Source organism: Homo sapiens, chromosome 20 (assembly GCF_000001405.40).
Source record: "Homo sapiens chromosome 20, GRCh38.p14 Primary Assembly".
NCBI classification, from domain to species: Eukaryota; Metazoa; Chordata; class Mammalia; order Primates; family Hominidae; genus Homo; species Homo sapiens.
In genome coordinates, this window is record NC_000020.11 from 62349561 (window position 1) to 62372666 (window position 23106).

Sequence of the window (23106 nt, forward strand, 5' to 3'; positions counted from 1 at the left end):
CGTTTTCAGACAATTCCGGATAGACTGTCATGGAATAGAAAAACTACAGGGTGCATTTCAGGAAGGAGGAAGCAGCAACCCAGGGGATGGGGATGGGGATGGGGATGGTGGGGGTGATGGGGGTGATGATGGTGATGGTGATGGTGATGGTGATGGTGATGGTGATGGTGGGGGTGGTGATGGGTGGGGGTGATGACGGTGGGAGTGGGGGTGATGACGGTGATGGTGGGGGTGATGACGGTGATGGTGGGGGTGATGACGGTGATGGTGGGGGTGATGATGGTGGGAGTGGGCTGGTAGTGGGGGTGATGGTTTGGGTGGGAGTAAGGTGATGGTGGAGGTAAAGAGGCAGAAAATTGCTGGCTGATGACATGGAGCCCCCTTCCCTGGAGGAGAGGTGGGGTGGCGGGTAAAGGGTGCAGGGAGAACATGGGCAGGCTAATGTTTTGGGACACTGGTGGGTGACCAGGTCCTGGTAACAGAGGCTGTGGTTCCATGAAAGATTCCCAGTCACCCCTGCTTGCACCTGCAGGGAGAGCTGAGCTCAGTCCACACCCAGGTGCGGTGAGTCAGGGGATGGCAATGTCTTCCCTGCAGGCCAAGGCAAGCCCCGGCTCCCGCGCCCTTCCTCTCCTTGGAGGCCCATTTGGCTGCCTGGTGGGTTCCACTCCCTGCTGTCACGAGCTGCGTCCCCACTTGGCACTTAATTTCCCAGGACAAGTTAGCTCTGCTGGAGCTCAGCACCTGAAGCTGTGCTGGCAGCAACAAGTGCCTGGGTGGGTCCCCAGGGCCCACAGCTCCTGGCAAACAGCCCAAGTCCTCCGGCTCAGGTGACTGTGCCACTCCTCCCCTCAGACCCACCAGCCACATCCGAAGGGGCCCAGGGCTCCCGCCTCTGCTCGGCACTGGCCGTGAGAATGGGAGTGAACCTTTGTCCTGTCTGAGCTCCACCCGCCTCCCCACCTCCCCTGTAAACTGGAGCGTGGACAGAGCAGTAAGGCCCCACAGAAGGCAAGGGCGGGTCCCAAATCCAAGCGCATGAAAGTTGGGCTGCTCGGTTGCAGGCACTAGATGAGCCCTGCCAGCTCCCTGCTGGGGGTCCAGGAGCCTCGTCACACACTCAGCCTCAGCTGCACCACTCTGAGTGGCTTCTGTCCAGCCCCATGCCTGCACTGCCACCCTAGGGTGTTACACCCTCCGGGCACCACGCTGAGTACTGGTTTGCGTGTTTCCCAGCTGCCTCCCCCGGAACAGGTGCTCCTGAGGCCGGGCTGGGGTCCCACCCTGTGTTCCCATTCCCAGGAAAACGGCCCAGCGTGTGTTAGGCGCTCAACATACAGCTGCTGGCTGAAAGAACCAACGAAGGGAGGGAGGAAAGGACGGACGTGCCCTGGGGTTGCTTCTCCGCAGAATGAGCCCGGCCCTACCTTACTGAGGACTCTGGGTGAGGCCCAGGAATGTGCCGGTGCCAGCACCAGGGCTGCTGCCCATCCTGTGAGGGGCTCCCGGGAGGTGGATGCTCTGCAGTGCCCTCGGCTGCCCCCGAAAGCAGGCACACAGGGCACAGCAGATGTGGGGTGTTGGCTGCCCCCACCCTGCCATCCCCGTCCTGGGCCTTGGTCCCTGCTTGACTGGAGTGAAGGTCAGGGCTGGGGCAGCAGGGAAGTTGTCTGTTGTGTCCTGAAAGGTTGGGGGAGCTGGGCGGGCACCCCCAAAGTGAATTAGGGCTGCCTCGGCAGGTAGTGGGCACCTGTCCATTCCGGGGGATGCAGTCTTGGAGTCGGGGATCAATCATCCCCATTGCTGACTCCCCTCCACAGGGCCCCAGGTGTCCACTATGGTGGGAAGGCCAGCTGGCCTGGGGGTCCGGAGAGCCCCACCTCTGCTGGCAGTAGGGCAAGGCCCCCCAAACCAAGATAGGGCACCCTGGGGAGGCTGCACATGCCCTGGCCTCCACATCACTGCACAGATGAGGAAACTGAGGCACACACGGCGGTGGTCAGTGCAGGTCACACAGACAGCAGGGTTGTGGTGGGCCATGGAACCAGGTCACCCACCCTCAGGTTAGGCAGGGGTGACAAGGACAGGCAGGGAGCTGGGGGGGGCCTCACCTGAACGGGGCCTCACCTGAATGGGGCCTCACCTGAACGGGTCCGTGGGGTCTTTGGCATCGCAGGCATCCGCGTGGCCGTGGCAGACACAGCGGCCTCCGATGCTGATATCCTTGATGCTGTAATAATACTGCACCCGCAGGCCCCGTGAGCACCAGGCGGCCAGGCCTCACTCACCCTGAGTCCCGGGTCCACCCGGCCAGTCCCCCTCCCCCGCCTGCGCCATGGGCAGCTCACCCGGCGGGTGACCGTGGGGTCCCGCAGCGCCTTCCCCATGAGATGGCCCAGCAGCGTGTTGGTACGCAGGAAGCGCAGGCGGACGTTGGTGGCCTTGGTGAACTCACGTAGCAGCGGCGAGTAGGAGAAATTCATGGCGCCCGGACGTCCGTTCACCAGGGACACCACGATCTGTGGGCAGTATGCGGTGACGCCAGTGTGGCCCTAGCCCCTGCTCAGCACTGCCCCTCCCGGGCCCACCTTTCCCTTCTCCAGCCCCGCTCGGCACTGCCCCTCCCCTACCCACCTCTCCGTTCTCCAGCCCCCGTACCGCCCTGCCCCTCCCCGGCCCACCTCTCCGTTCTCCAGGGGCACGATGCGTGAGTACTCGGTGGTGCAGATGGCCGCGTCGTCCCGTGTGATGCGCTCCAGCGTCTGTGGCCCGAACCGCTCCAGACAGTCCCTCTTGGAGGCTGCGGGGAATGGCGGGAGGGGAGGGCGCTGGATCACCAGAAAAGCCTGGGTCCCCGCGGTGCCCGGGCCCCTTGACGTCTCCGGGCCTTGCCACTGAGGCTCCCACAGGCCAAGAGGCCGCGTGACAGAGACCACAGCTCACTGGCTGAAGGGGCCTGGCCCGTTGGACTGCACTGCCCCCCACCGCTCTCCCTTGCACGCTTTGAGTGCGAGTGACCCCCCTCGACGACCATCCTCACCCCCTTCCTTGGGGACAGACGCCTACTGCCCATCACTGACCCGCCCCTCCCCCATTCTCAGGCCAGGGAATTTTGGGGGACACGTGACCAGGCCTGCCCTATTGGGGAGGAGCACCCACTCCCACCAGCATGACTGGTCAGGGTGGCACGGGGCCAGGGACGGCCAGCATCCGGGCTAGGACTCCAGTACTCTTGACGCAGGTGGCTAGGCTGGCAGGAGGTGAGGTGGGAGCTGCCAGGCCCCTTTTGTCACCACGGGAGCTGCCGGTGCATGAAGCCATCCAGAGGCAGCCAAGAGATGGCACCAGAGATTCCTGGCGCCACAGCCCCTGGACTTGGCTGTGCCCGACGCCAGGGACAGGAGCCAATAAATCCCCATGAGCCTTCGGGTCCTCGTCTGACAGTCATGACCGCAGCAGCCGGGTGTGAGGGCAGGGCTGGGTATTCGGAGACCTTCAGAAGCCTGGTCACGGAGGGCCTGCCCAGGGACCCCCCTGCCTCTCCCCCCAGGCCCCACGGCGGCAGAGACTCACAGGCAAAGAACTGCCAGGGCTGGTAGGTGCGGCCGAAGTCCATGGACCGCTCCAGCACCCAGAGGTCCGGCCGGGGTGAGTTGGCAAACTTGATGAGGACGTAGGCCACGTGGAAGACCTGTGGGCCGAGAGGGCGTCAGGGGAGCCAGGGGCGCCTGGATTCCCATGCTCCCAGGGGCCTGGCTCATTTTCTGCCCCTCAGGTGAGGCCACAGCAGGGGATGTGGCACCCTCGCCGCACAGGGGGCACCTCTGGGTTTGCCTGTGTGGGGCAGACGAACCCAGGGGAGAGGGCTCCCCAGGGATGGAGATGAGCCCCCGGGAACCAGCCCTCCTGGAAGGGCTCCCCGCCTGGGCTCGGGACCAACGCGCTGCCTCCTCCCCTTCCCTGCCGCAGGAGTTTGGGGTTCCCCCATGGTCCTGCAAGCTCTGTGGCTGCAGATGGAGCAAGCTAGGGAGAGGCCTACCTGCGGCCCAGGCAGGGACTGGCCAGGGTGGAGGCAGGAACACACCCCAGTGTCCCCACAGCCCTCACGTCCAGCCAGGCCTGGTGGCCAGACAGTGGTCCCTGCCACCAGGCAGGTCCAAAGGTCCAACCCCCTAGTCCCTCTGACAGGTCAGCAGCTCCTAAGATGGGGCCCCTGCCCCCACCTCACACCGGGCACCCCTCCCCAGGCTCTGCTCAGTCCCATGCTGACCAGCCCACAGCCAGGGGCCCACTGAGCCCCCAGGGACTGGGCTGCAGGGAGCAAGCGGGGCTCAGCCTTGCAGGCTGGGGGCCCTCTTGAAGCTGAGTCTGCCTCGGAGACTCCACCAGCCCAGGCACTGGGGCAGTAGCACTGCTGTGGCCCGGTGCACGTCAGGGCAGCCCTGCCCAGGGCAGAGGAAAGCTGCTCCTTCCCAGGCCTCCGAAACCCCAAGCCCCTGCCCCAGCCCCACCTTGGCTCTGCCTACTTTCTCCCCGTGTGTCAGCCTGACCTCCACCCAGGGACAGCCCATGTGTCTGTGCCTCGGGGCTGGGGGACAGCCTGGCTCAGTCTTCACAGGACGCTTTGTACACCTCCTCAGAGAAGCCTTCCCTGACTGCAGCCCCTCCCCCTAACCCTCAGCTGCGGACATCTCCCCAGGCCCAGGCCCTTCTCTCCGCACAGGCCAGGCCTGCTGACTCCCCTCAGGCCTCTGATCAGCCTGGGCTTCCCTCCCTCCCTCCCTCCCTCCCTCCCTACCCATCCCCTGACACCCTGCCCTCAGGACTCCAGGCCTGAGCCTCTCCTGCCCCCAGCAGTCAGTGCTACCCAGCCTCATATCTGCACCCACCCGACATGACCGTGGGCCTCCATGCCTGCACCTGGGGGTGCACACACACCCGCCCAACAGTGAAACACCGTGGGGGTGGCTCCTCCATGGACCCAGGCCACAGGCCCCCTCTGAAAAGGTCTCTGGTCCCTAAAAACAGCCCATGGCCTCAATGGCAAGAGGCTGCACCCAGGAGCAGGGGGGGTCCCGAGGCACACAGGAGGGGGCGGTGCCCAAGCAGCACCCCGCCTTCACACTCATGCAAGCCAGGGCTCAGCCCCTGCTGCAGCCAAGTGCTCCCACCCGCCATAGCCTCTGAGGGGAGCCCTAGGCTCCCCCTACCTGGGGGCAAAGGAGGGAAGTTGTCTCCAGGCCCTGTCACAAGCCTGGAGGCTCCAAGGGAGGGTGAGCCCCTCCCCAGCCCCTCTCAAACAAAGGGGAAAGGGCTCTCCCAGGCAGAGGCTCCACAGGGACCTGGCAGGGAGGCGGAGGAAACACGAACCTCTCCCCCGCCTGTGCGAGGAGGCCCGGGTGCCGGGGGAGAGAGGCAACTCATGGACCCACAGCACAGGTGTGGCCTGCCTGTCCCGGCCCACACCTCCCCTGACGGGCCCACAGGGTCCACGATGGAGACCTTGGGAGACCTCAGTACTCAGCCCAACTCTTTGTGGGCGGCAGTGGGGACCAGCCCCTCCTCTGCTCACAGGTGGGCACCCAGGTGGGCCCTAAAAAGGCCAGCAGGCCTCCGAGGGTCATGCCACACCCCAGGGCCACCCACCACACCTCCTCGGGACCCTGACCCGCCAGTGCCCACTCCTCCGGAGAGTTTCTCCCCACAGCAGGTACGCCCGGGAACAGCTGGGTGCTGTTGGCCAGGTAGGCCTGGAAGCCTAGGGCCCCAAGGGGGAGAGTGGGGTCCCCCAGAGCTGCACAAGACCTACAGTCACCCCACTGGACTGAGCCGGACTGAGACTGCTGTGGGGTCCCCCATGAAAAGACCACAGACCCCTCATAGCTTCAGCCCTTGGGGGCACCAGCTGCCCAGACTCCAGGTAGGGGGCAAGGTTCCAGGACTCCAGACATCCCAGGTCCAAATCCCACCCTTCTCGGAGGGCTTGGCGTTGCGGGGACTGTGGGAGCCAAGCGCAGCCTTCCGGGGTTGGGGCGGGGCACAGGCCTATTCACCGGCTGCCAGGCTCTGAGGTCATCGTCTACCTCCCTGTGGGTGGGGGGCAGGGAGACATGCCCTGCCCAGCAGGGAGGGGTATGAGCCTCTTCAGGGACAGACCCTATACCCAGCCCCACACCCGGGCCTCAGCAGCCCCCTGTGGGCCTGACCACAAGCATTCCAGAGAGCCCCAGGTGGGGGCCAGTGGCCCCTGTGCCTGGACAGGGAAGGACCCGCTAGAGGTGGACAGGGGCAGGGACACAGGCTGTTCTCGGGGAGCTGGCAACACAGCCCCTCCCACCAAAGGCTCCGAAGGAGACTAAAGGTCCCGACTGAGCCCCCTGGGAGCCGCCCCCGCTGTTCCCTGAGTGCCTGGATGGAGGCTGCGCTCTCCTCGGCCCGATCTGTCCTCCTCCCTCCCCTTCAGCAGGCCAGTCACATTTTTCCCAGCTGAGAGCACTTGCACAAATATTGACTTGAAGACACTGATCAGCAGGATGAGGGGGACACAGACACTTCGCCCTCCCCACCCCTGGGATGCACAGGAAGATCCTGGCCTCCTGTCTGTCCCCCATCCCAACCATCTGTCTGTCAGACAGGGGCCCTGGACAGCTGTCCTCGAGGGCCTGGTGGCTGCACAGATGGTCACAGGAAGGGAAGCCCGCGCTGGAGGACTCCCATCTGTCTCTGACCTGGTCGCGGCTCCCAGGGCCACACCGGCCGCCCTCGCCATGACCCGGAGCGAGCGCAGACCCCTGGCTTCGGGACCGCCCTTCCCCCTCCACGCCCCGCTCAGCTCAGCTGCCAGTGCTGACCTTTCCGCTGCTACATGGTTCTGTGCAGAAAGAAAAAAAAAAGTCTTTTAAAGCAAAAGCCAAACAAAAGCTGCCTGAGTTATTTTTAAAAATCGGCTATTTTGGGGCAGGCACGTCTCCAGGACGGCAGCCGGACCCGCCTCTCAGCCACTGCACCCTCCAGTCCCCACTACCCAGCTTGCCCTGGGAGGGCCACGGTTCCCAGAGGAGGCCTCTGCCCGGTGACCACTGCCTCACAGGGGGTGGGCAAGAGCCCCAGGAGTACGGGGCCCAGGACCCAGGGCCCAGGCCGGCTCCAGGCTTCAGGGGTTGTGCGGCCCTGGAGCGGACACTTCCCCTTCCTGGGCACAGGGCAGTGGGAAGAGCTGCAGAGAGGGGCATCAGGATAAAATGCCTTTCATGAGGGCATGAAGGTTTGAGCGCCCTGGGAGGGAGGACGCCAGCTGCTCCTGGAGGGCAGCAGCCACCCCGCAGAGACGCTGAGAGGCCCCCACTGGAGCTGCCCCACTCACTGGCGCTCCGAAGGCAAAGCTGCGGAGGGGACTGAGTAGGTGCTAGGGTCTGGGCAGCACGGTGAGGACTACAGAGAAACTCTGGTGGGGCTTTCGGGGACCCTGGGGATGGCGTGGGGTTGTTGGCTAGCAGCCTCCTGGGCTGAGGCACCCACCTCACCATGGGGTGGGCTGTGGCTGGAACCTCCAGAGGAGGGGAGGCGGTGCTGTCCTGTGCCCAAACCCAGCTCTGCCCTGACCCATCTTGGGTTGGGGAGACCAGGGCCAGGTCCAGGTGCCCGCTGTGCTGGGTGAGGGCCAGTCAGCCTTCCCCGGCAGCCTGGATCACAGCGGTCTGTGACTCAGCCCCCGCCCTGCAGGAAGAAGGGCGTTGTGCCAATTCCCGGGGCAGGAAAAGCCCCTCCTAGCCCCAGGCGTCCGGGCCAGCACCCTGATCGCACTGCTCGGACAGGGCACCGGGGCACCCAGCCCCCTCGATGCCCAGAGTCCTGGGCCAGCCCAGCCCTTGCCCGCTCCTGCTGTGTGCCTCCCCTCGAAGAGACCCCATCTGGAAACGTAGATAAGCCCCACAGCAGGGGCGGGGCGGCAGCCGGGAGCATCTCCACTGGCCCCCAGCTGGGTGAATAAGCACGGCGGCCACACAACCTATCAGGGGTCCGGAAACGTGCCCCACACAGACACCTCTCCCAGAGGGACGTGGAGTGGAAAAGCCGGGGGTTTCCACAGCAAGCCCACCGCTGGGAAGAAAAATAACAACTCTGAGGCCAGAACCCCCAACTCTGGGGTTGGACGCCGCCATGCCCAACTACAGATGTCCTAAGCAGGACAGGAAAACTTCCAGGAGTGGGCGGGGGGACAGGAGCTCCCCAGCTGGAGGGAGAGGATGGGTTCCCAGCCAGGGGGCTGCCCGCACCTCAACAGAGCTGGGCCTGGGGTGGATTCAGGGACCCCAACCACTGCAGCCCAAGCTCCAGGCTCCCTCCCTGCAGCCCAGCCCAGGTCAGGCCAGATGGTCAGCCGGGGACACAGGAAGTGGAGATTATCCCAAGGGGACCCCTCGGCCTGAAACCCAAACAGTTTCGTCTTCACTGAGCTGTGTTGTCAGAGGCCAATGTGGTGGCTCTTGTTTAGAAACAGACAGAAAACAGGAAGCCTTTGGGGACCACCAGGGCCTGGGGGGTCTAGGTGGGTGCTGGGGCATCTCTGTGCCCTGAGTGCCAGGTCTGGCCGTGCAGCCACCAAGGGCAAGCATGGCGCGGGGGTGCGGGGAGAGGAGCGGCCCCATCCCCACCTTGGCATGGCAGCCCCTTGGGCCGTGTCCTCCTTCCAGGACACGTAGAGGGAGGGTTTTGCCGTCTATCCTGTGCCAGGGGAGGGGAGTGGTGCCTCCCAGGACCCCCGCCGTACCCCCCAGGGAGCCCTGCTCAAGTGGCTGCGTCTGGTTCAGCCCGTGCACCTGTCCCGGCCGCCGAGCTCTGTAACTAGAGCCTGGCCGCAGCTGCACTTCCTGTCCTTCCCTGGACAACCCACTGACCGTCCTGGGGCACTGGCCACATGGCTGAGTGCCCAACCAGGCCCAGGGAGCCAAGCCAGTGGCACCCTGGACCAGTAGGCCTGCCCAGGGCCCAAGCCGGCCAGCCAGAGAGCAGGCAGTCCTGAAGGGTGAGGCAGCCTGGGCGCGCTGGGCCTCCGGCAGGTCCTCCTCCTGCGGTGCTCCTCCCATTTACAGAGGAGGAACCAGCCCGGGAACCCAGACTGCAGACAGCATGGCCAACCCCACAGTCCTCCAGACCCCAGCACTGGGACCTTGGGCACTCCACACTGGCCCTGACCCTCTCATAACCCCACCTCAGTTTCCCCAAGTGCCTAGGGAAACTCACACTCCAGTGGCCAATGACTTCAGCAGAGCTTTGCCTCCTTGTACCCCCACTTGGAGGGGACAGCTGACTGCCTCCCCTCTCCGGCCCTACCTGTCCACTCTGCCCTCCCATGGGTCTCCACCATCCCCAGGGGCACAGGCCCTCACCTGGCACTGCTCGCCCCCAACCAATACTTCTAGCCTCATGCCTAACTGCCCCCTTATACCCTGCCAGCCCCAGTTCCCCCACACCTTGACCCCCACCTGGGCCTCCCCATTTGCCCTGCAGCTCTGGGCCTCGGGGACTGGGACAAAGCCGCTACCCCACCTGTAGCACCTGCAGCGTGGCCTGCTCTACAGAGAACAAAGCAGGGGCCTCCCTACCGGAAGGGGGCCCGTGCGTCCTCACTCCTCATCTGAGGGAGGCGGGAGGCAATGCCCTCCTCTGCTGGGGAGAGCCCCGCCCCCACGGTCAGGCCACCCAGGGGCCGACTGGAGAGGGAGGGGACACAGGCCAGAGCCAGCCCCACTCACCCTGCCCAGCTCCTTACAACCTGGGCCCGCTGGGCTAGCGTGCTGGTGTAGTGGGGCAAGGGCCTGGACCCTGCGGCAGAGCCAGGGGGTGGGGGAGCTCAAGCCAGGACCCGCTGGCCATGTGCCTGGGCAGTCATGAACGCGCTCACCCTTCCCTGGGCCTGGGGCCTGGGGCCTGGGGCCTGGGTGTGGTTCTCGGAAGAAGGAGCCTGAGGCCAGTGATGTGGCCGCTCAGTTCCAGAAGCTTCCGGAGGATGCAAGGAGATACGCAAGAACCCCCTAGAAGGACCCCCTGGGGAAGGTCACGTCTGGAACTCGGAAACTGCCCCCTGAGTCACCAGTGACCAGCGCTGGAGCCTCTTCCTGAGGCCCCACCCTTGGAGAGAGAACCCCTCCACGGCTGGGCGCAGCGGGACCCAGGCCAGGAGCCCAGCTGGCACTCCCGGGGGCCCAGGCTCAGCTGCTTCTGGGTGGACACCACAGGGACTAGTCTCCCCTCCCCTGCGCCAGCCCCTGCCCCACCGCACACCAGGGGTATGAGATCCGAACCGTGATGCAGCCCACCCCGCCCTCCTCAGCCTTCCAGGAGCAGGAAGCCTTCCCGATGCCCAGTGCCAGCCGCCCCCACCCCCGTCCCAGGGCATCCGCTCCAGATCCCAGAACAAAGGCTGCTGGCAGCCCGCTGCAGGGGGAGTGCCCGGACCCACCCGCCGCTCAGCCTGGCTTCCTGATGGAGGCCCCAGCCCCGCCCCAGGATCAGCCCTGAAGCCCAGGAAGGACATTTCCCCACCCCACTCCAGGGAGTCCCTGCCCCCACCCTGACCAAGGCTGGCAGCCCCCTGGCCTAGGCCGAGACAGGGGCCTTGGTAGATACATCCACGTGGTCAGGAAAGTGGGTGAGAAGGAAGGAAGACGGTGCAGGTGTGGAGGGAGGAATGAGCAGACAGGTGGACAGATGGATGGAAACAAGGAATAAAGGGTGGGTGCTGCATAGGTAGGGGGGTGGGTGGGTGGATGGATGGGTAGGGGTGGGTGGGTGGATACGTTGGGGGTGGGTGGGTGGGTGGGTCAGCAGGCAGAGGGATGGGATAGGATAGGTGGGTGGGTGGAGGGATGGGTGAGTGGGTGGGTGGAGGGATAGATGGGTGGTGGGTGGGTGGAGGGATAGATGGGTGGTGGGTGGGTGGAGGGATAGATGGGTGGGTGGGTGGGTGGAGGGATAGATGGGTGGTGGGTGGGTGGAGGGATAGATGGGTGGATGGGTGGGTAGAAGGATAGGTAGGTGGGTGGGTGGGTGGATGGGTGGGTGGAGGGATAGATGGGTGGGTGGGTGGGTGGAGGGATAGATGGGTGGGTGGGTGGAGGGACCACTTCCCAGGTGGAGTGGAAAGGGTTCCTCTTCCCTCCGTATCATTTTACAGTTGGTGAAACTGAGGCTGTGAGAGGCAAGACGCTCACATGGCGGAACCTGATTTCTGGCCCAGAACAATCTAAAAGCAAACTGGCTTCAGGCCTGAAGTTTCCAGCCCAGTTCATACATGTGCACCGAGGCCGAGAGAGCCCCAGAGCCAAGGGGTGGTGGAGCCCAGGCTCGTGGGTCCGAGTGTCAGTCCCGGCTTCCCTGCCCCACCCAGGCACATCGGGCACTGCGCCCACTGGCTCTGCAGCCACCCTGGGGTTGCCGTGGAGACTGGGCCATCTCCCCTCCCCCAGCCCAGCCCCCTAGTTTCTCAAAGGAGGAGAGGCGGGAAGAACTCGCCAGTGCCCAGCTTCCCGCCCCGAGCAGCTGAGAATTCACACGTACGCTACAGCCAAGGTGGGGGCCTCTGCTGCTGTGCCAGAGAGATGAGGGACCCCCAGGCTCCAGGGGACAGGGGAGTCAGATGCGGGGAAACCCAGTGAGATGAAGGTAAACAGGCAAAGCCACACCCAGACCCAGGCCAGGGCAGGGCTAGGGGCCTGGCAGGCAGGCAGGGAGCCCAGGACAGGCAACCCCTCCCCAGCTCCCCGCCCTTCTCCACAGGGCTCTGCAAGTTCAGGAACCCCTGGAAATTCCAGGCCACTTTTGGAGCTTGAGCCCTCCCCTCACTGCCTGCCCAGCCCGGGCCAGGCCTGCAGACCACCAAGGCTGCCAAAGGTGCCTGCCCCTTGGGGCCGGCCCTCCAGCCAGGCTCCAGGGAGACCTCCTCTATCTCTAACACCCTCGGGACAATGGCAGGGACAGAGGCTCAGACAGGGGTGAAGACCGATGTGTCACACACTGGGACTGGGGCAGCGGCGGAGCCGGCTGGGATGCAGGCCTCTGGGTCAGCCCTGGGGCCCCCACTCCAGGCACTGGCTGCTCTCAGGCCCAGCCTCCTCCACCTGCCCCACCACTGTCCCTGACCTAAGAAGCACCAGGATTACTGGCCCATTTTACAGGCCAGGACCTCAAGGCTGGGTACCCGGGCCAAGTCGCCCCCAATCTGGGGGTGCTCAGGGCTGGCAGCCAGGCAGGCCCACCTTGGGGGTTTCACTCTTCGCTTGGAGGCACCCAGCTGCAGCCTCCTGCTTGTGCAGGGGCCTCCAAGGCCAAGGAGAGCCCAGAGCTGGGGACTGGAGAGCAGGCACCCGACCCCACCTAACCCTCAGTGGCCGCCACCTCGGCACAGGTATCCCAGGAATGTCCACTTGCGCCAGCCTCCTCTGCATTCCTGCAGCCCCTCCCGCACCTGCCAGGAATTCCTTAAACAGCAGGGCGCCTGACGCAGGGGGCACCACCGCACTGCTCACAGCACCTCCGCCCTCCCAGCCCCAAGCTGTCTACTCAGCACCCGCAACCAAACTCTGTGGCCTTTGGAAACACCCCCATGAGCACCCGCTTTCCCTGTGTCATGGGGACGCTGAAAGCACAAACAAAAGGTGACCACTGCCGTGCCTTTGTCCCTGTGGGGACTCCCCCCACCAAGTCCTTCGTGTCCAGCCTCCCAGGCCCCAGGTCTCGCTCACGGTGGAGACCTCGCCTTCTGGTCCTGTGGCCCAAGGTAGGCCCGACGGGCACAGACACAGAGATGGGGGCTGCAGCACGCAAAGAAGGGTCCCTACCTGGCCCAGGTCCAGGGTGACGTTGACCTCGTTGTACTCCAGGCCGCGGGACAGCGGTGGACTCTGCCACCAGCGCTCCGTGCCATCGATGGCATTGCTCGCGGGGTGTGCCTTGTTGCTGTTGGCAGCCGTGCAGATGTCACAGTACTGGCCCTGCAGAGGGAACGGGAGGGTCAGATAGCCGAGAAGGGCCGGGGCCCCCTTCCTCCTCCACAGTCACCCTGCTGCCCCGAGACAAGTCCTGGTCCCACTGAGCTGGTTCCACGCCCAGCCTCTGCGCCCCTCATCCACTTGCTCAGCAAACATGCGCCAAGCACCTGCTGCTCCTCCGACTCAGGGGATGTGGCTCATGTGAGCTGCTCACGGCGCTAAGGACAAGAGGAAGACCAGGGTGGAGAGGGGCATCTGCCTTGGGTGGGAAAATCTCGGTGGGCCTCTCTAGCGGGGTGGCGTCTGAGCACTACGTGGTAAGGGGGGGGGTGTGCTCTAGGCAGAGGGGGTGCCAGTGCAACGAGCCCTGGGGGCAGGAAGAGTCTCACAGTAAACCACAAGGTGGATCAATGTGTCTAGAGCCAAAGGGAGCAAGAAGGGGCAGGAGTAAGGCAAAGCATGGCTACCCCTCCCTGCTGGCCCTGCCAGGGGCTCCAGAGAGGCTTGGACAAAATGCAGCAAGCCAGGGGGCGGAAGGGGGAGCTGCAGACAGAAGGACCGTCAGGGCCGGGATCCAGGCGGCCAGACCCCCCCCCACCTCCAGATCTTGCCCACAGCCTTCTGGATTAGGGTCTCCAGAGAGACAGAATTAAGCTGTTCCGGAGGCCTGTGGGGACCGGCCCCAGAGTGGACGTGTGGACAGCGGCAGGTGGGCCTGGGCCTCCTGGCTGCTGCTTCCGAGTCCTGGGAAGAGGCCAAGTCACAGTAACTGCTGAGCCTCAATGTCCCCATCCAAAGAGTGGGGATAAGGCTGCACCTGCCTGGGGCCACCGTGAGGAGTAATGGCTCACACACACAGCCTGGCAGCCGCTTCTGTCCCGGGCCTGCCATCTGCTGGGGGCCTGTCCTGCATGGGTGAGTGGGGAAGAGAGGAGGCTCCCAGCAGAATCCTGGCCTGCATCCTGGCAGGGGAGGGGTAGTGCTGGGAGCCGGGGCAGGGATGAGGAGAGGGGGCAGAGCTGGGTCCTGGCTGCTCCCCCGCCCCCCCAGGAAACCAGATCTGCTGTTTGTCCACACAAAGGCGCCCTCCCAGGCTTGGGGTTGATTGAGGCCCCAGAGGCCTCAATCTGAGTTTGAGAAAGTCAGCGGCCCTACCCCGCCCAGCCTCCCTTGGGGGGCCAGACCTCATCCTAGGAGGAGGAGGCAGGAGCTGGGGAGATGCCTTCTCCCCACCCCCAGGCCCAGCACCTACAGAGGGCCCAACCCCCTCGCCCAGAGTGTGCCCTCTGCCTCCACTGAGCACCAGGGCAACACCCGGTACCCCTCCCACAGGCTCCCAAGACCCCGCCCTGGTGTTTGGATTGCCCCATCTCAGACCTTGCCCCAGACCACCCAAGATGCAGCTCTGCAGCCCCCAGTGTGGCCACTGCTGTATTTCCTTTACTGCATGTATGAGACCTGGAATTATCTGGGGGCCTCCCCGGGGTCCCCCAGAGCTCTGCAGTGGCAGGGTCCACACCCTCCTTATTCCCGCTGTGTCCCCAGCTCACCACCTAAGCATTCTCGTGGATGGGGCTAGAGCAACTGAAGACACCCAGTTAAGCGCCACGACCCCTACCCGCAGGCCGCACTGCAAGCTTTGATGGTGGCCCCCAAACTCAAGAGCTCAATGACAGCACGGCGCACACAGGTCCTGCTCAGGGTGGGGCCAGGGGCTCCTGGAGAAGGTAGGTGTGGGCGGCGCCCTCTGGCTGGGACAGCCGGACCTCCCAGGGAAGGCTGCTTGCTGGTCAAGACCCTCCCAGACACACGAGCAGCAGAGGGAAGCTGGGTGGAAGGTTGCGGGTCAAGGGTCAGCCTCTACTCTTCCAGGAGGTCAGGGAAGCACCTGCTCAGTCCCTGCCTGGGCCAGCGTTGGTCCAGTTATTGGGAGGCAGTTCCAGTCCCCATTCGGCCACTCACTGAGCCACAGAGGACAGGGTTGGGAAAACCAGGCTCCCCCACCTCCGCTGCGGAGGGTCCCGTGAGAACAGAGCTAGGAAACAGCAGAAGGGCCGATAAGGACTTCCCCTTCCAATGAGTCACCATGCTGGCCTGGCTGCCCAGTCCCCACCTTCCCAGGCTGGGCCGGCCAGGGATCCCCTGATGCCCACCTGGGGCTGTGAGGGCCACAACCTCCCCCTGCCCTCTGCCTGCTCCAGCTGCCCAGCAGGGTTCACCCCGACCCCCATCTGGGATGCCCAGCTAATGTGCATCTCCTACAGAGGGTCCCTGAGAGCCCCTGGCCTGCAGCCTTGAGAACACACTGCCCAGCCCCAGGCCCCATAGCCTTAGTGAGCCCCCTCAGATGGAGCTGCGGCTTCATCGCCTGGGCACCTCCTGTGCCTGCCTGCCTTGCCCCAACCGCAGCTCCACTCCAGACCGGCCGGCAAGGACTTCTCACACGCCCAATCCGCGGCCAGGGCGGTCAGCAGACCCGCGGCTCTCAGATGAAGGAGGCATCCAAGGTCATACCCGTCCAGCTCACGTCTACCAGCTGATCTTTCTACATATCTGGCAGCCTCAGCGGGCACTCACTGCTCAGAGCTCGAGACTTTGGAAGCGAAGGGTTCACCTCTATTGCTAGACATGAGCTGGGCGAGGCCGGCTGGTTTCTCATCCAAGCTGGCTCTGAGGCATGGAGCACCACAGCCCACAGCTGCCACTGAAACTGTGGCCACTTCCCAGGCTCCTCGGGCCAAGCTCACAGTCTCAGGTGAGGGGGGCCAGCACGCTGTGCCCATTTTAAAGACAGCTTGAGGCTGACAGAGGGAAGCCACACAGCTGAGGCAGAGGAGAGGGGCGTTGACTACAGGCTGGCCCTTTACTCACGAGACGGGGGTAATAAGCCCCCACAGAGGAGACAGATCTGAGAGGGGGCCTGTGGCCCCCAGCCACGCAGCATGGGCAGGCTGTGGGGGGGTGGTCTGAGGTTCACAGGGCACCTGGAGCCTCCCCTGCCAGAACGGCAAAATCTCAGCTGGGGACACTCAGCCAGGCCCTCTGTGGTGAGGTGTGGCAGCAGGTAAGGAGACAGTCACAGGCCCTCCGTCCTGAGACCCGGCCCCTCTGAGTTGACCAGATAAGGGGGCAGCCAGGAGGCACCCAGGTTCCCACAGCTAACCCCCGCTGGACCCTGTTCTGGCTGGGGGGCTCCAAGCAGGTGTCAGCAGCTTTCCAGGGCTCAGATCCCCCATCTGAAGTGTGGGCTTGAGACCTCCTATCTCAGAGGACTGTGCTGGGCTTAAGGAGAGAACGGTGAGCCCAGAAGCCTGGGGAGGCTCCTTCCCCCTCCACCAGGGCCAAGGGGGTGGGGCAGGCAGAGGGGGCGGGCCCAGCCCAGGCTCCTCCATTCATCCCCATAACGTCTTGCTCCAGGGCCCTCTGCCCCCACCCAGCAAATCTCCAGCTACTCGCCCCTGCCCCAGCCTCTCCTTCCGGGAAGGCAGAGGTACCAGGGAGGAGACAGCTCAGGTTACACAGGCCCTCAGGGCCCCTAGACTCTCCCTAAGGTGGGGCTGAGGTGGGGAATGGGCCTAGAGCGGCCGGTTGGGAGCCGTTGGAGCTGACTTTGCTGCTCCTCACCCAAGGCTGACCCCAGGCCCAACCTAAGTCTACAGGGCCCCAAGAGCCTTGGTTTTCAGGTGAGGTGTCCATGCATGGAGTCCACCAACAGAACCCGCCTACAGGTTTAAGGCTTGTTGGGGAGGGGACATGCACCCCAGGGGGTCTTCAGGGCCTGAACCCACATCTCCCAGGGAGACTGAAGCCCCCGGACCCTACCACCTGCTGGGCAGAGATGCTGCCCCTCCTGGGAGCCACGTGTTCCCAGCCCCAGTCAAAACTTCGCAGCTGGCCCTCCCCTACTTTGGAGGTCTCCTCGAGTCCCTAGACTCCTCCGAGAGGGGCTAGTGGGAGCCTCAGGTGGCTGGCCCCTCCCACCCCATCCAGAGGCCAACAGGTTCCAGCCTGTCCCGGGTAGGGCGGAGCTGCGCCCCCTCCCCACCGGCAGCAGGCGGCGGAGGCCAAGTCCCGCCCTCCCCGGGATCCCGGACTTGGGGCCGCCAGGGACTGGGCCCGGCCCCCCTCCCGCCCCGGTCACCGCAGTCGAACTGGACCGGCGCCCAGCCGCCCCCGGGTCCATGCCGGGGACTTTAATTCCGCCTTCCCGGAGGGACGCGAAGTTTCCCGGCCGAGACGGAGCGGCCGGGTCGGGGTGCCTTCTTGGGCCCCCAAAATGCGGAACCAGAGAGTCCGCACCTGGACTCGCCCCGGGCCACGGCGCTCCCCCTGGGGTCGGGCCGGTGTTCCGGGTCCGAGTGCCCCGGGAGGAAGCCCCACGGCCCGCCCCTGCGCTCACCCGGATGGTCTGGTTGGGGTCGCCGCCGGCCACGGGGCCCCCTACCAGCTTGCAGTAAAGGTCCTCGGTGGGGCGCGGGGAGCCGCGCGCCGGGGCCTCCTCTCCGCAGGTCGCGGAGGCGGCGATGCGGGCGCCCTCGGCCAGGTTGAAGTAGGGCGGGTGCAGGCTGAAGCCGCCGCCCGCCTCCTCCCGCGCCCGCGCCGCGCCCAGCAGCGCCAGCCCGACCAGCAGCAGCGGCGCGGGGCCCCGGGGGCCGCGAACACACAGTGCGCTCCCCGCGCAGAGCCGCTTCGCCATCTTCCCGGCTCCGGGCCGCGTCCCCGAGCTCCAGGGACAGCGCGCGCGGCGGGAGCCCGGCGGGTCTGAAGCCAGGCGGCCGGCAGGGCTCGCTCCGCCCGCGGACGTCAGGCCCCGCCCCGGCCCGCCCGAGCGCCCGAGCCCCGAGCCCCGGGGAGAGGTCCGGGGAGGCGGGGTGGGGGGGGGAAGGAGAGAGGAGGGGGAGGGGCGGCCGGGCGGCCTTAACCCTTCGGACCCCGGCCCGGCCGCCTCCCGGAAGGGGCACCTGCTGGCCTCGGGCCAGGCCGTGGGACGACGGCGCCGCCGGGCCCCCAGCCCAGGTCGTAGCTCCGGGTCCCGGGTGGGACCCTAGCGCTCCCCACGACGCCCTGGCCCCCAGAGCGCCCACCAGCTCCTCCCAGCCCAGGGGCCCACTCTTTGTTCCCCTAACTTGGGTGCACCACTCGGCTGCCCCCGCTCCTCCCCCAACAGCGTCCGTCCTGCTGGCTGCGGGAAGGTGCCCTCTGCACCCGCGAATGACCATCTGCAGAGGAACGGGGCAGCCTAGGTGGGAACCCCCTGCTTCCTGGGGCAGCCAGGTCAGGTTCAACTCGGCCTGGCTCCCGCCTGCCCCAGCAGGGCTTAAAAATACTCTCAGATAGGGAAATAGGGGCAGGAGGGACTGGCCTGCAGCTGCAGCCCCCTTTAGAGGACGGGGGCGGTGCTCATGGCCCCACAGCCGCCAAATTGGCTCTTAAGGAGGTCGGGGGCTCTGGTCACAGCTGCTGAGCACCTGCTGGGTGCCTGGAAGCACCTGTGCTCCGGGGCCCGGTGGACTCCACCAGCTCTCTCGGCCTGGCCTCCAACCCGCTGCACAGCCGCGCACGCGTTCCTGCCACGATCGGCGGCTCGAGGACGCCTGGCAAACAGCACAGGACCTAGAGGCCGAGATCAGGTCTTCGTCTGCCTTTGGGTGGCTGCGGCCCTGGGTCTCCTACTTCCCTTGGGCTCCGGGGCCAAATCTGCCTCCAGGGAAGCCCCGAGGGGGTGGCGGCGGGGTGGGGCTGCAGCTGCCGAGCTGGCAGCAAACCCCCATCCCTGAGCCAGGCCAGCTGGGCGGGCCATGGTCCCAGATGGGCTGTGGGGCTCATCTCTCGCTGGGTTCCCTGGACAGTCCCGGGGGGCTGGGTGGGTTTGTGGGGCACTGGCCAGCCGGTTCTGGTGGGGGTTCTGAGCTAGCAGCTGTCCCTGGAGGGTGCACCTCCTTGCACACCTTCCTGGCGCCCTGGCCTCCTGCAAATCTCAAATCCCAAGAGGGTGTATGGCCCTTTCTCTACGGAGTCGGGAGGGCGATGGGACCCTCTCTCCCTCCTCCTACTTTCCGGCCCGGCAATTCTTCCATAACTTCACTATTAGTTCTCCCACCTGGGGGAGGGGGGAGAGGAGGCGGCTCCCCTTGGCAGGAGAAGCTCCAAGTGGGGGAGGGGCTGGCTGGAGAGGGGGCGGAGACATCAAGGAATCTGCAGTCCAGGCGCAGAGTCCGGCTCTGAGCTGCTTTAGATCCCGTGTGAGGCAGAGAGTGGCCTCTGGGCAGTAGCGGGTCCCCAGGTGGGGGCTTGGCCCCAGGCAGTGTGCTCTGGCTCTGGGCTCCCCCTTGACAGCTTGGGGCTCTGACAGCCTGGGGGACTGGAGGTGGAGACTCCTGAGACCCTGAGGGCTTCTTGGGATCCCTGGAGGGTCGGGTGGTTGGAGGGGTGGGATTGCGAGTGGCGGGGCAGGGGGAGAGGTGGGGGTGGGGAGAGCACTTTAAGCCTCCTAGCGGCCAGATCAGGCCAAGCTGCCAGGCCTCCGCTGTCCCCCGGCACTGGCCAGGAGGGGAGCGGGGGCCGGCCCTGAGAATGCGCTGTGTCAGCCGGAGCTGCCAGCACCAGCAGGGTTAATCACCGGGCTCACTGCTTCCCGGCAGACAGCTGCCCCGGGAGCAACTGGCAGGCAGGCGGGCAGCGCAGTGGACAAGAGAATGTGGCCCAGGGGCTGGGTAAAGAGCCCACACTCTGCCCCCACCCTGTGTCTGCTGGTGCACGGACTGGGAAGGAGGCAGCTGGGGCAGGAGCTGAGCGTATGGAGGGCGGGGGGGCTGTCCCAGCCGGGCTACACACAGGGGGTTGGGGAGGTGAGCAGGGAGAGGGGCAGCTCATCTCTGCACACCCCCACCCCTGCTGTCTTTGTCATGGTTCCAGTGAGTCATCACCAAATGGACCAGCGAGCCTGTCTCCTTGTCTTTCTGAGTCCTGCGCAGCCCAGCCACCTCTTCTATTTACAAATGGGGAAACTGAGGCCAAAAAGGCCAGGGTCAATCAAGAGCACACAAGTTAGTAAAGCAAGAGGAAGTTTGTCCATCATTCATTTCTTACTCCTATTTACTGGGCATCTTTCGGGCACCCGCCCGTGACGTAGTCCTCCTCCCTGCAACAGGTCAGACGGCACCCCACCCCCAAACACGTCCTGTCCTGAATCCACAGGAGGGAGCTGCCCAGTCTGGGAGTGGAGGGGAGGGTAAAAGGAGGTGGCTCGCCAGGGGAGGGCCGTGGAGGAGCCTCTGTCCCACCAGGCTCTGGCTGCCCTCCAGGGACAATCCAAGATCCAGAGCCCCTGCCCACCCAGCTCCAGGGTGATGGAGCCCCAGAGGAGGTGGGTCGGGGGCAGGGGTCAGTGGCAGCCCGAGAGAAGTAGGGGCACTCCTGGCCCTGGGGAAGGGGTCTCAGATCCTCCCCCAGCCCTGGGACAAGGTCTGCTGCGGAGCCCTGGGGGCAGCCACCTCACCTGAGCCCCCAGTGCTACTCCAGTGGCATTCCTGAGAATGCCCCCACCCTACTCGGCCACACCTGCAGGCAGCTGTGGGGGACCCTGAGGGTAGGCCACAGGCACATCTGACTCAGCCGTGAGTCGTGAACTCCTGACCTTGGGAGCCTCCTGGGGACACCGCTGTGCTGAGGACATGGGGCACCCCCACGCCCACACTCAGCTGCATCACAGGCAGCCACAATCAGTAACAGATGACTCTGCAGACCCTCCTGTCCCAGAGCCCAGGGTCCAAGTGGGTGCTGTACCCTCGGGAGAAGCCCCCAAGAGGAAGCGGGGGCTGAGCAAGAAGGAGGGCTGGAGGCTGGGCTCCTGCTAGGGCCGGGCCTGCGGGTGAGGCCTTGTGGCTCCCACTCCAGAACTGGGAATGTTGTCTCAGCGGGATGAGGTCTGGAGGAACGCCAGCGCTGTGGTTTGGGATATCGGAGGCCACAGTCCCTTTCTCAGGGCTGCTGGGATGCCCTTCCGTGGAGCCGGCTGGTAAGAACCTCCATCCCTGTCCATGAAATAGAGAAGCTGGGAGCGGGCAGCAAGGCTGGTTCTGAACTGTTCGCGTGGGCCAGCTCAGTCCTCTGGGAGGAGGACACAGAACAGCAGGTGCCGGGAAGACAAGGTCTCATCAGGATTGCATAAACCCAGCGGACTGGGAGAGCTTCTGGGCCTCTTGGCCTAGGAGGCCCCCACTGCCCTCAGCCTGGACAGACTGCTGTAAGAGCCAGCCCGGAGTTGCAGACCCTGGGGGGCTGGCCTCAAAGGAATGGAGGCAGAGCCCAGGAAGACCCTGAGCCATAGCCAGACCCCTCCCCCAGGCCTGGAGCCCGCCTTCCCCCAGGGCTGCCACCTGCCTCCAGCCTCCGAGGGTCTGCAGGTTCCTGCTGCCAGAAGGATGGGGCCAAGGGATAGTCCGGCCTTCCTGGCCTAGGCAGGGTCTGGAAACAGCCCGTTTGGAAGGAGTGGTGCTTTTTCCTCCCTGGCTGTGACCCCAGCTGGGCCACTGCTGGGCTCCTGACGGCCTCTGGGACATGTGGTTGTTGGAAAGCACAGAGACCAGGCTCCGGGTTGACACTAACCAGGAATGAAGGACTCTGACCCACCGCTGCCTGGCCCCTGGCCCCTCTGCCACTTGCTGTGTGTGCCCAGCTCACAGGCCACGCAGCCCCAGGCACCACTCACGGGGCAGGCCCTCCACAGACTTGGGGCTCTTCAAAGCCTTCCAGGCCAGGCACCATGCCAGGAGCATGGCCACCGCCTTAGGGCTCCAGGAGACAAGTCACCCGTGCAGGTGACATGCCTCACGCCTGCCCACTCCCCGAGGCCCGACCCAAAGGCTGCCACTGGGTTCACACCTGGGGGGTTTCAGGTGGGCCCCCATGCCAGAGGGGGTGCAGACAGGCTTAGGTGGTGCCCAGTGTCGGAGATCTGGAGAGGGTCAGCATCCGGGCTCCTTGGGCTCTCCACAGATGCTCCCCGAGGCTCCTCTTGCCCACCCAGCTCCTTTTCTTCCCAAGTGGCAAGGAGAAGCGCTTGGGCTGGTGCCCTGTGCAGGCGGGCCCAGCCCCATGACAAGCAGGCAAACCTGGGGTGCTCAGAAATGGGGGGGCCTCATGGAGCTCTGTGGGGTGGTCTGCGTGGCGACCGAAAGTCCAGAGTCCAGGATCCCACCTGGATGCCCCTGCCCCGGCCTGGGCCTGTGTAGCTGGGTGTAGGGGAGCCTCCACCCTGCCAGCCTTTAGGAGGGAAGGAGTAGGGGGCCCTGGGAACTCCCAGGGAGGGGGCCCGGGACCTCCCTGGGATCTAACCACCTACAACTTGGCAGGGAAGGGGCCGGTCCAGTAACAAGGTTGCTCCCAGGACCCCAACCCATCCCCTCCCTCAAGTGGGGGCCCCTGTCAGGGCACCTCCCAGCACCTTGCTGGGGTGTGAGGCAGAGTCCAGGACTCCTGCCCCCAGATCTCTGGGGAGCCCCAGAAAAGGCATCGCCCGGGGTAAACATGCAGTGGCACACGGCTGCAGCGTCCACCCCGAGGCCGGGCACCTACGCTTCCACGTGTCACCTTAATCTTATTTAATTGCGGTCCCCCTACCCCGTACCCCCATTCTTACCACTTGCTTGCCTCAGGCCTAGACTGGGGAGCCCTAGTGAGCTCCAGGGGCCAGGAACCCCAGGGGAAACAGGCGGAATGGGGGCGCCCCAGCATGCTGGGCAGGGTGACTCGGGACCCTGAGCCTCTACCCCTGGGGCCTGGCCTGCCTGTGCCCTCCTCCCCCACAGGACCACGGCTCCAGCAGGCCCTCCCCTGCCTCTGTCCTTGCCTGGCTGAGCTCTGGTTCTCATAGAGGGTGGGGCGGGTGGGGGGTGAGGGTTCTGAGCTTCTCCAGGAGGTGCCCACAGACGGCCTTATATGGCCAGAAGGCCTCGAAGCCCAGGAGGAATCTGACTTCCCAGGAGGGCCCAGTGGGCAGAGCCAGAGCCTGGGCAGGAACCTGGGACTGCGCCCTGGGCGAGGCCAGGGCCCCCACGAGCCCACCCTCAAATGTCTCCCATGAACCCAGCCTCCTGGGCTGAGAACCCCTCAGAGG

At 65.4% G+C, this 23106-nt stretch overlaps 1 protein-coding gene and 1 long non-coding RNA gene across 11 annotated transcripts in view, besides 14 other annotated features; one reads left to right on the forward strand and one right to left on the reverse strand.

Moving 5' to 3' along the window:
* Positions 1-17752, reverse strand: part of LAMA5 (laminin subunit alpha 5) — a 58248-nt gene extending 40496 nt beyond the window's left edge. For all 8 annotated transcript variants that reach the window (XM_047440149.1, XM_011528819.3, XM_047440148.1 and 5 more), the window contains exons 1-6: positions 17389-17752; positions 12840-12992; positions 3574-3691; positions 2682-2800; positions 2349-2519; positions 2144-2241 (exon numbers count right to left, since the gene is read on the reverse strand). In XM_047440149.1, the coding sequence (XP_047296105.1) occupies positions 2144-2241; positions 2349-2519; positions 2682-2800; positions 3574-3691; positions 12840-12992; positions 17389-17685 (956 nt within the window). In that variant the 5' untranslated portion in view covers positions 17686-17752. The remainder of the gene's footprint in view (positions 1-2143; positions 2242-2348; positions 2520-2681; positions 2801-3573; positions 3692-12839; positions 12993-17388) is intronic.
* On the forward strand, positions 3450-6920 carry LAMA5-AS1 (LAMA5 antisense RNA 1). Of its 3 annotated transcripts, none has more exons than NR_109922.1 (3): positions 3450-3775; positions 5708-5920; positions 6632-6920. It is a non-coding gene; the product is annotated as an LAMA5 antisense RNA 1 (long non-coding RNA). The 3 variants fall into 3 exon arrangements; NR_109924.1 differs by having other exon boundaries at positions 3450-3648; NR_109923.1 differs by lacking the exon at positions 5708-5920 and having other exon boundaries at positions 3450-3648.
* Positions 5164-6104: an enhancer, noted in NCBI's record as "H3K27ac-H3K4me1 hESC enhancer chr20:60929780-60930720 (GRCh37/hg19 assembly coordinates)". NCBI's record gives its function as "activates a minimal SCP1, AML or CMV promoter by ChIP-STARR-seq in primed H9 embryonic stem cells {active_cell/tissue: H9 hESC(primed)}" and the evidence as "EXISTENCE:reporter gene assay evidence [ECO:0000049][PMID:30033119]".
* Positions 6105-7043: an enhancer, noted in NCBI's record as "H3K27ac-H3K4me1 hESC enhancer chr20:60930721-60931659 (GRCh37/hg19 assembly coordinates)". NCBI's record gives its function as "activates a minimal SCP1, AML or CMV promoter by ChIP-STARR-seq in primed H9 embryonic stem cells {active_cell/tissue: H9 hESC(primed)}" and the evidence as "EXISTENCE:reporter gene assay evidence [ECO:0000049][PMID:30033119]".
* Positions 10960-11660: an enhancer, noted in NCBI's record as "NANOG-H3K27ac-H3K4me1 hESC enhancer chr20:60935576-60936276 (GRCh37/hg19 assembly coordinates)". NCBI's record gives its function as "activates a minimal SCP1, AML or CMV promoter by ChIP-STARR-seq in naive and primed H9 embryonic stem cells {active_cell/tissue: H9 hESC(naive and primed)}" and the evidence as "EXISTENCE:reporter gene assay evidence [ECO:0000049][PMID:30033119]".
* Positions 11661-12359: an enhancer, noted in NCBI's record as "NANOG-H3K27ac-H3K4me1 hESC enhancer chr20:60936277-60936975 (GRCh37/hg19 assembly coordinates)". NCBI's record gives its function as "activates a minimal SCP1, AML or CMV promoter by ChIP-STARR-seq in primed H9 embryonic stem cells {active_cell/tissue: H9 hESC(primed)}" and the evidence as "EXISTENCE:reporter gene assay evidence [ECO:0000049][PMID:30033119]".
* Positions 12360-13059: an enhancer, noted in NCBI's record as "NANOG-H3K27ac-H3K4me1 hESC enhancer chr20:60936976-60937675 (GRCh37/hg19 assembly coordinates)". NCBI's record gives its function as "activates a minimal SCP1, AML or CMV promoter by ChIP-STARR-seq in naive H9 embryonic stem cells {active_cell/tissue: H9 hESC(naive)}" and the evidence as "EXISTENCE:reporter gene assay evidence [ECO:0000049][PMID:30033119]".
* Positions 13060-13758: an enhancer, noted in NCBI's record as "NANOG-H3K27ac-H3K4me1 hESC enhancer chr20:60937676-60938374 (GRCh37/hg19 assembly coordinates)". NCBI's record gives its function as "activates a minimal SCP1, AML or CMV promoter by ChIP-STARR-seq in naive H9 embryonic stem cells {active_cell/tissue: H9 hESC(naive)}" and the evidence as "EXISTENCE:reporter gene assay evidence [ECO:0000049][PMID:30033119]".
* Positions 13897-13946: an enhancer, noted in NCBI's record as "active region_18198". NCBI's record gives its function as "activates an Ori minimal core promoter by ATAC-STARR-seq in GM12878 lymphoblastoid cells {active_cell/tissue: GM12878}" and the evidence as "EXISTENCE:reporter gene assay evidence [ECO:0000049][PMID:35858748]".
* Positions 14459-15158: an enhancer, noted in NCBI's record as "H3K27ac-H3K4me1 hESC enhancer chr20:60939075-60939774 (GRCh37/hg19 assembly coordinates)". NCBI's record gives its function as "activates a minimal SCP1, AML or CMV promoter by ChIP-STARR-seq in naive H9 embryonic stem cells {active_cell/tissue: H9 hESC(naive)}" and the evidence as "EXISTENCE:reporter gene assay evidence [ECO:0000049][PMID:30033119]".
* Positions 14813-15107: a silencer, noted in NCBI's record as "tiled region #4533; K562 Repressive DNase matched - State 5:Enh". NCBI's record gives its function as "represses a minimal TATA promoter and a strong SV40 promoter by Sharpr-MPRA in K562 cells {active_cell/tissue: K562}" and the evidence as "EXISTENCE:reporter gene assay evidence [ECO:0000049][PMID:27701403]".
* Positions 15159-15858: an enhancer, noted in NCBI's record as "H3K27ac-H3K4me1 hESC enhancer chr20:60939775-60940474 (GRCh37/hg19 assembly coordinates)". NCBI's record gives its function as "activates a minimal SCP1, AML or CMV promoter by ChIP-STARR-seq in naive H9 embryonic stem cells {active_cell/tissue: H9 hESC(naive)}" and the evidence as "EXISTENCE:reporter gene assay evidence [ECO:0000049][PMID:30033119]".
* Positions 16557-17256: an enhancer, noted in NCBI's record as "H3K27ac-H3K4me1 hESC enhancer chr20:60941173-60941872 (GRCh37/hg19 assembly coordinates)". NCBI's record gives its function as "activates a minimal SCP1, AML or CMV promoter by ChIP-STARR-seq in naive H9 embryonic stem cells {active_cell/tissue: H9 hESC(naive)}" and the evidence as "EXISTENCE:reporter gene assay evidence [ECO:0000049][PMID:30033119]".
* Positions 17436-17875: a silencer, noted in NCBI's record as "silent region_13109". NCBI's record gives its function as "represses an Ori minimal core promoter by ATAC-STARR-seq in GM12878 lymphoblastoid cells {active_cell/tissue: GM12878}" and the evidence as "EXISTENCE:reporter gene assay evidence [ECO:0000049][PMID:35858748]".
* Positions 19355-20054: an enhancer, noted in NCBI's record as "H3K27ac-H3K4me1 hESC enhancer chr20:60943971-60944670 (GRCh37/hg19 assembly coordinates)". NCBI's record gives its function as "activates a minimal SCP1, AML or CMV promoter by ChIP-STARR-seq in naive H9 embryonic stem cells {active_cell/tissue: H9 hESC(naive)}" and the evidence as "EXISTENCE:reporter gene assay evidence [ECO:0000049][PMID:30033119]".
* Positions 21455-22152: an enhancer, noted in NCBI's record as "H3K4me1 hESC enhancer chr20:60946071-60946768 (GRCh37/hg19 assembly coordinates)". NCBI's record gives its function as "activates a minimal SCP1, AML or CMV promoter by ChIP-STARR-seq in naive H9 embryonic stem cells {active_cell/tissue: H9 hESC(naive)}" and the evidence as "EXISTENCE:reporter gene assay evidence [ECO:0000049][PMID:30033119]".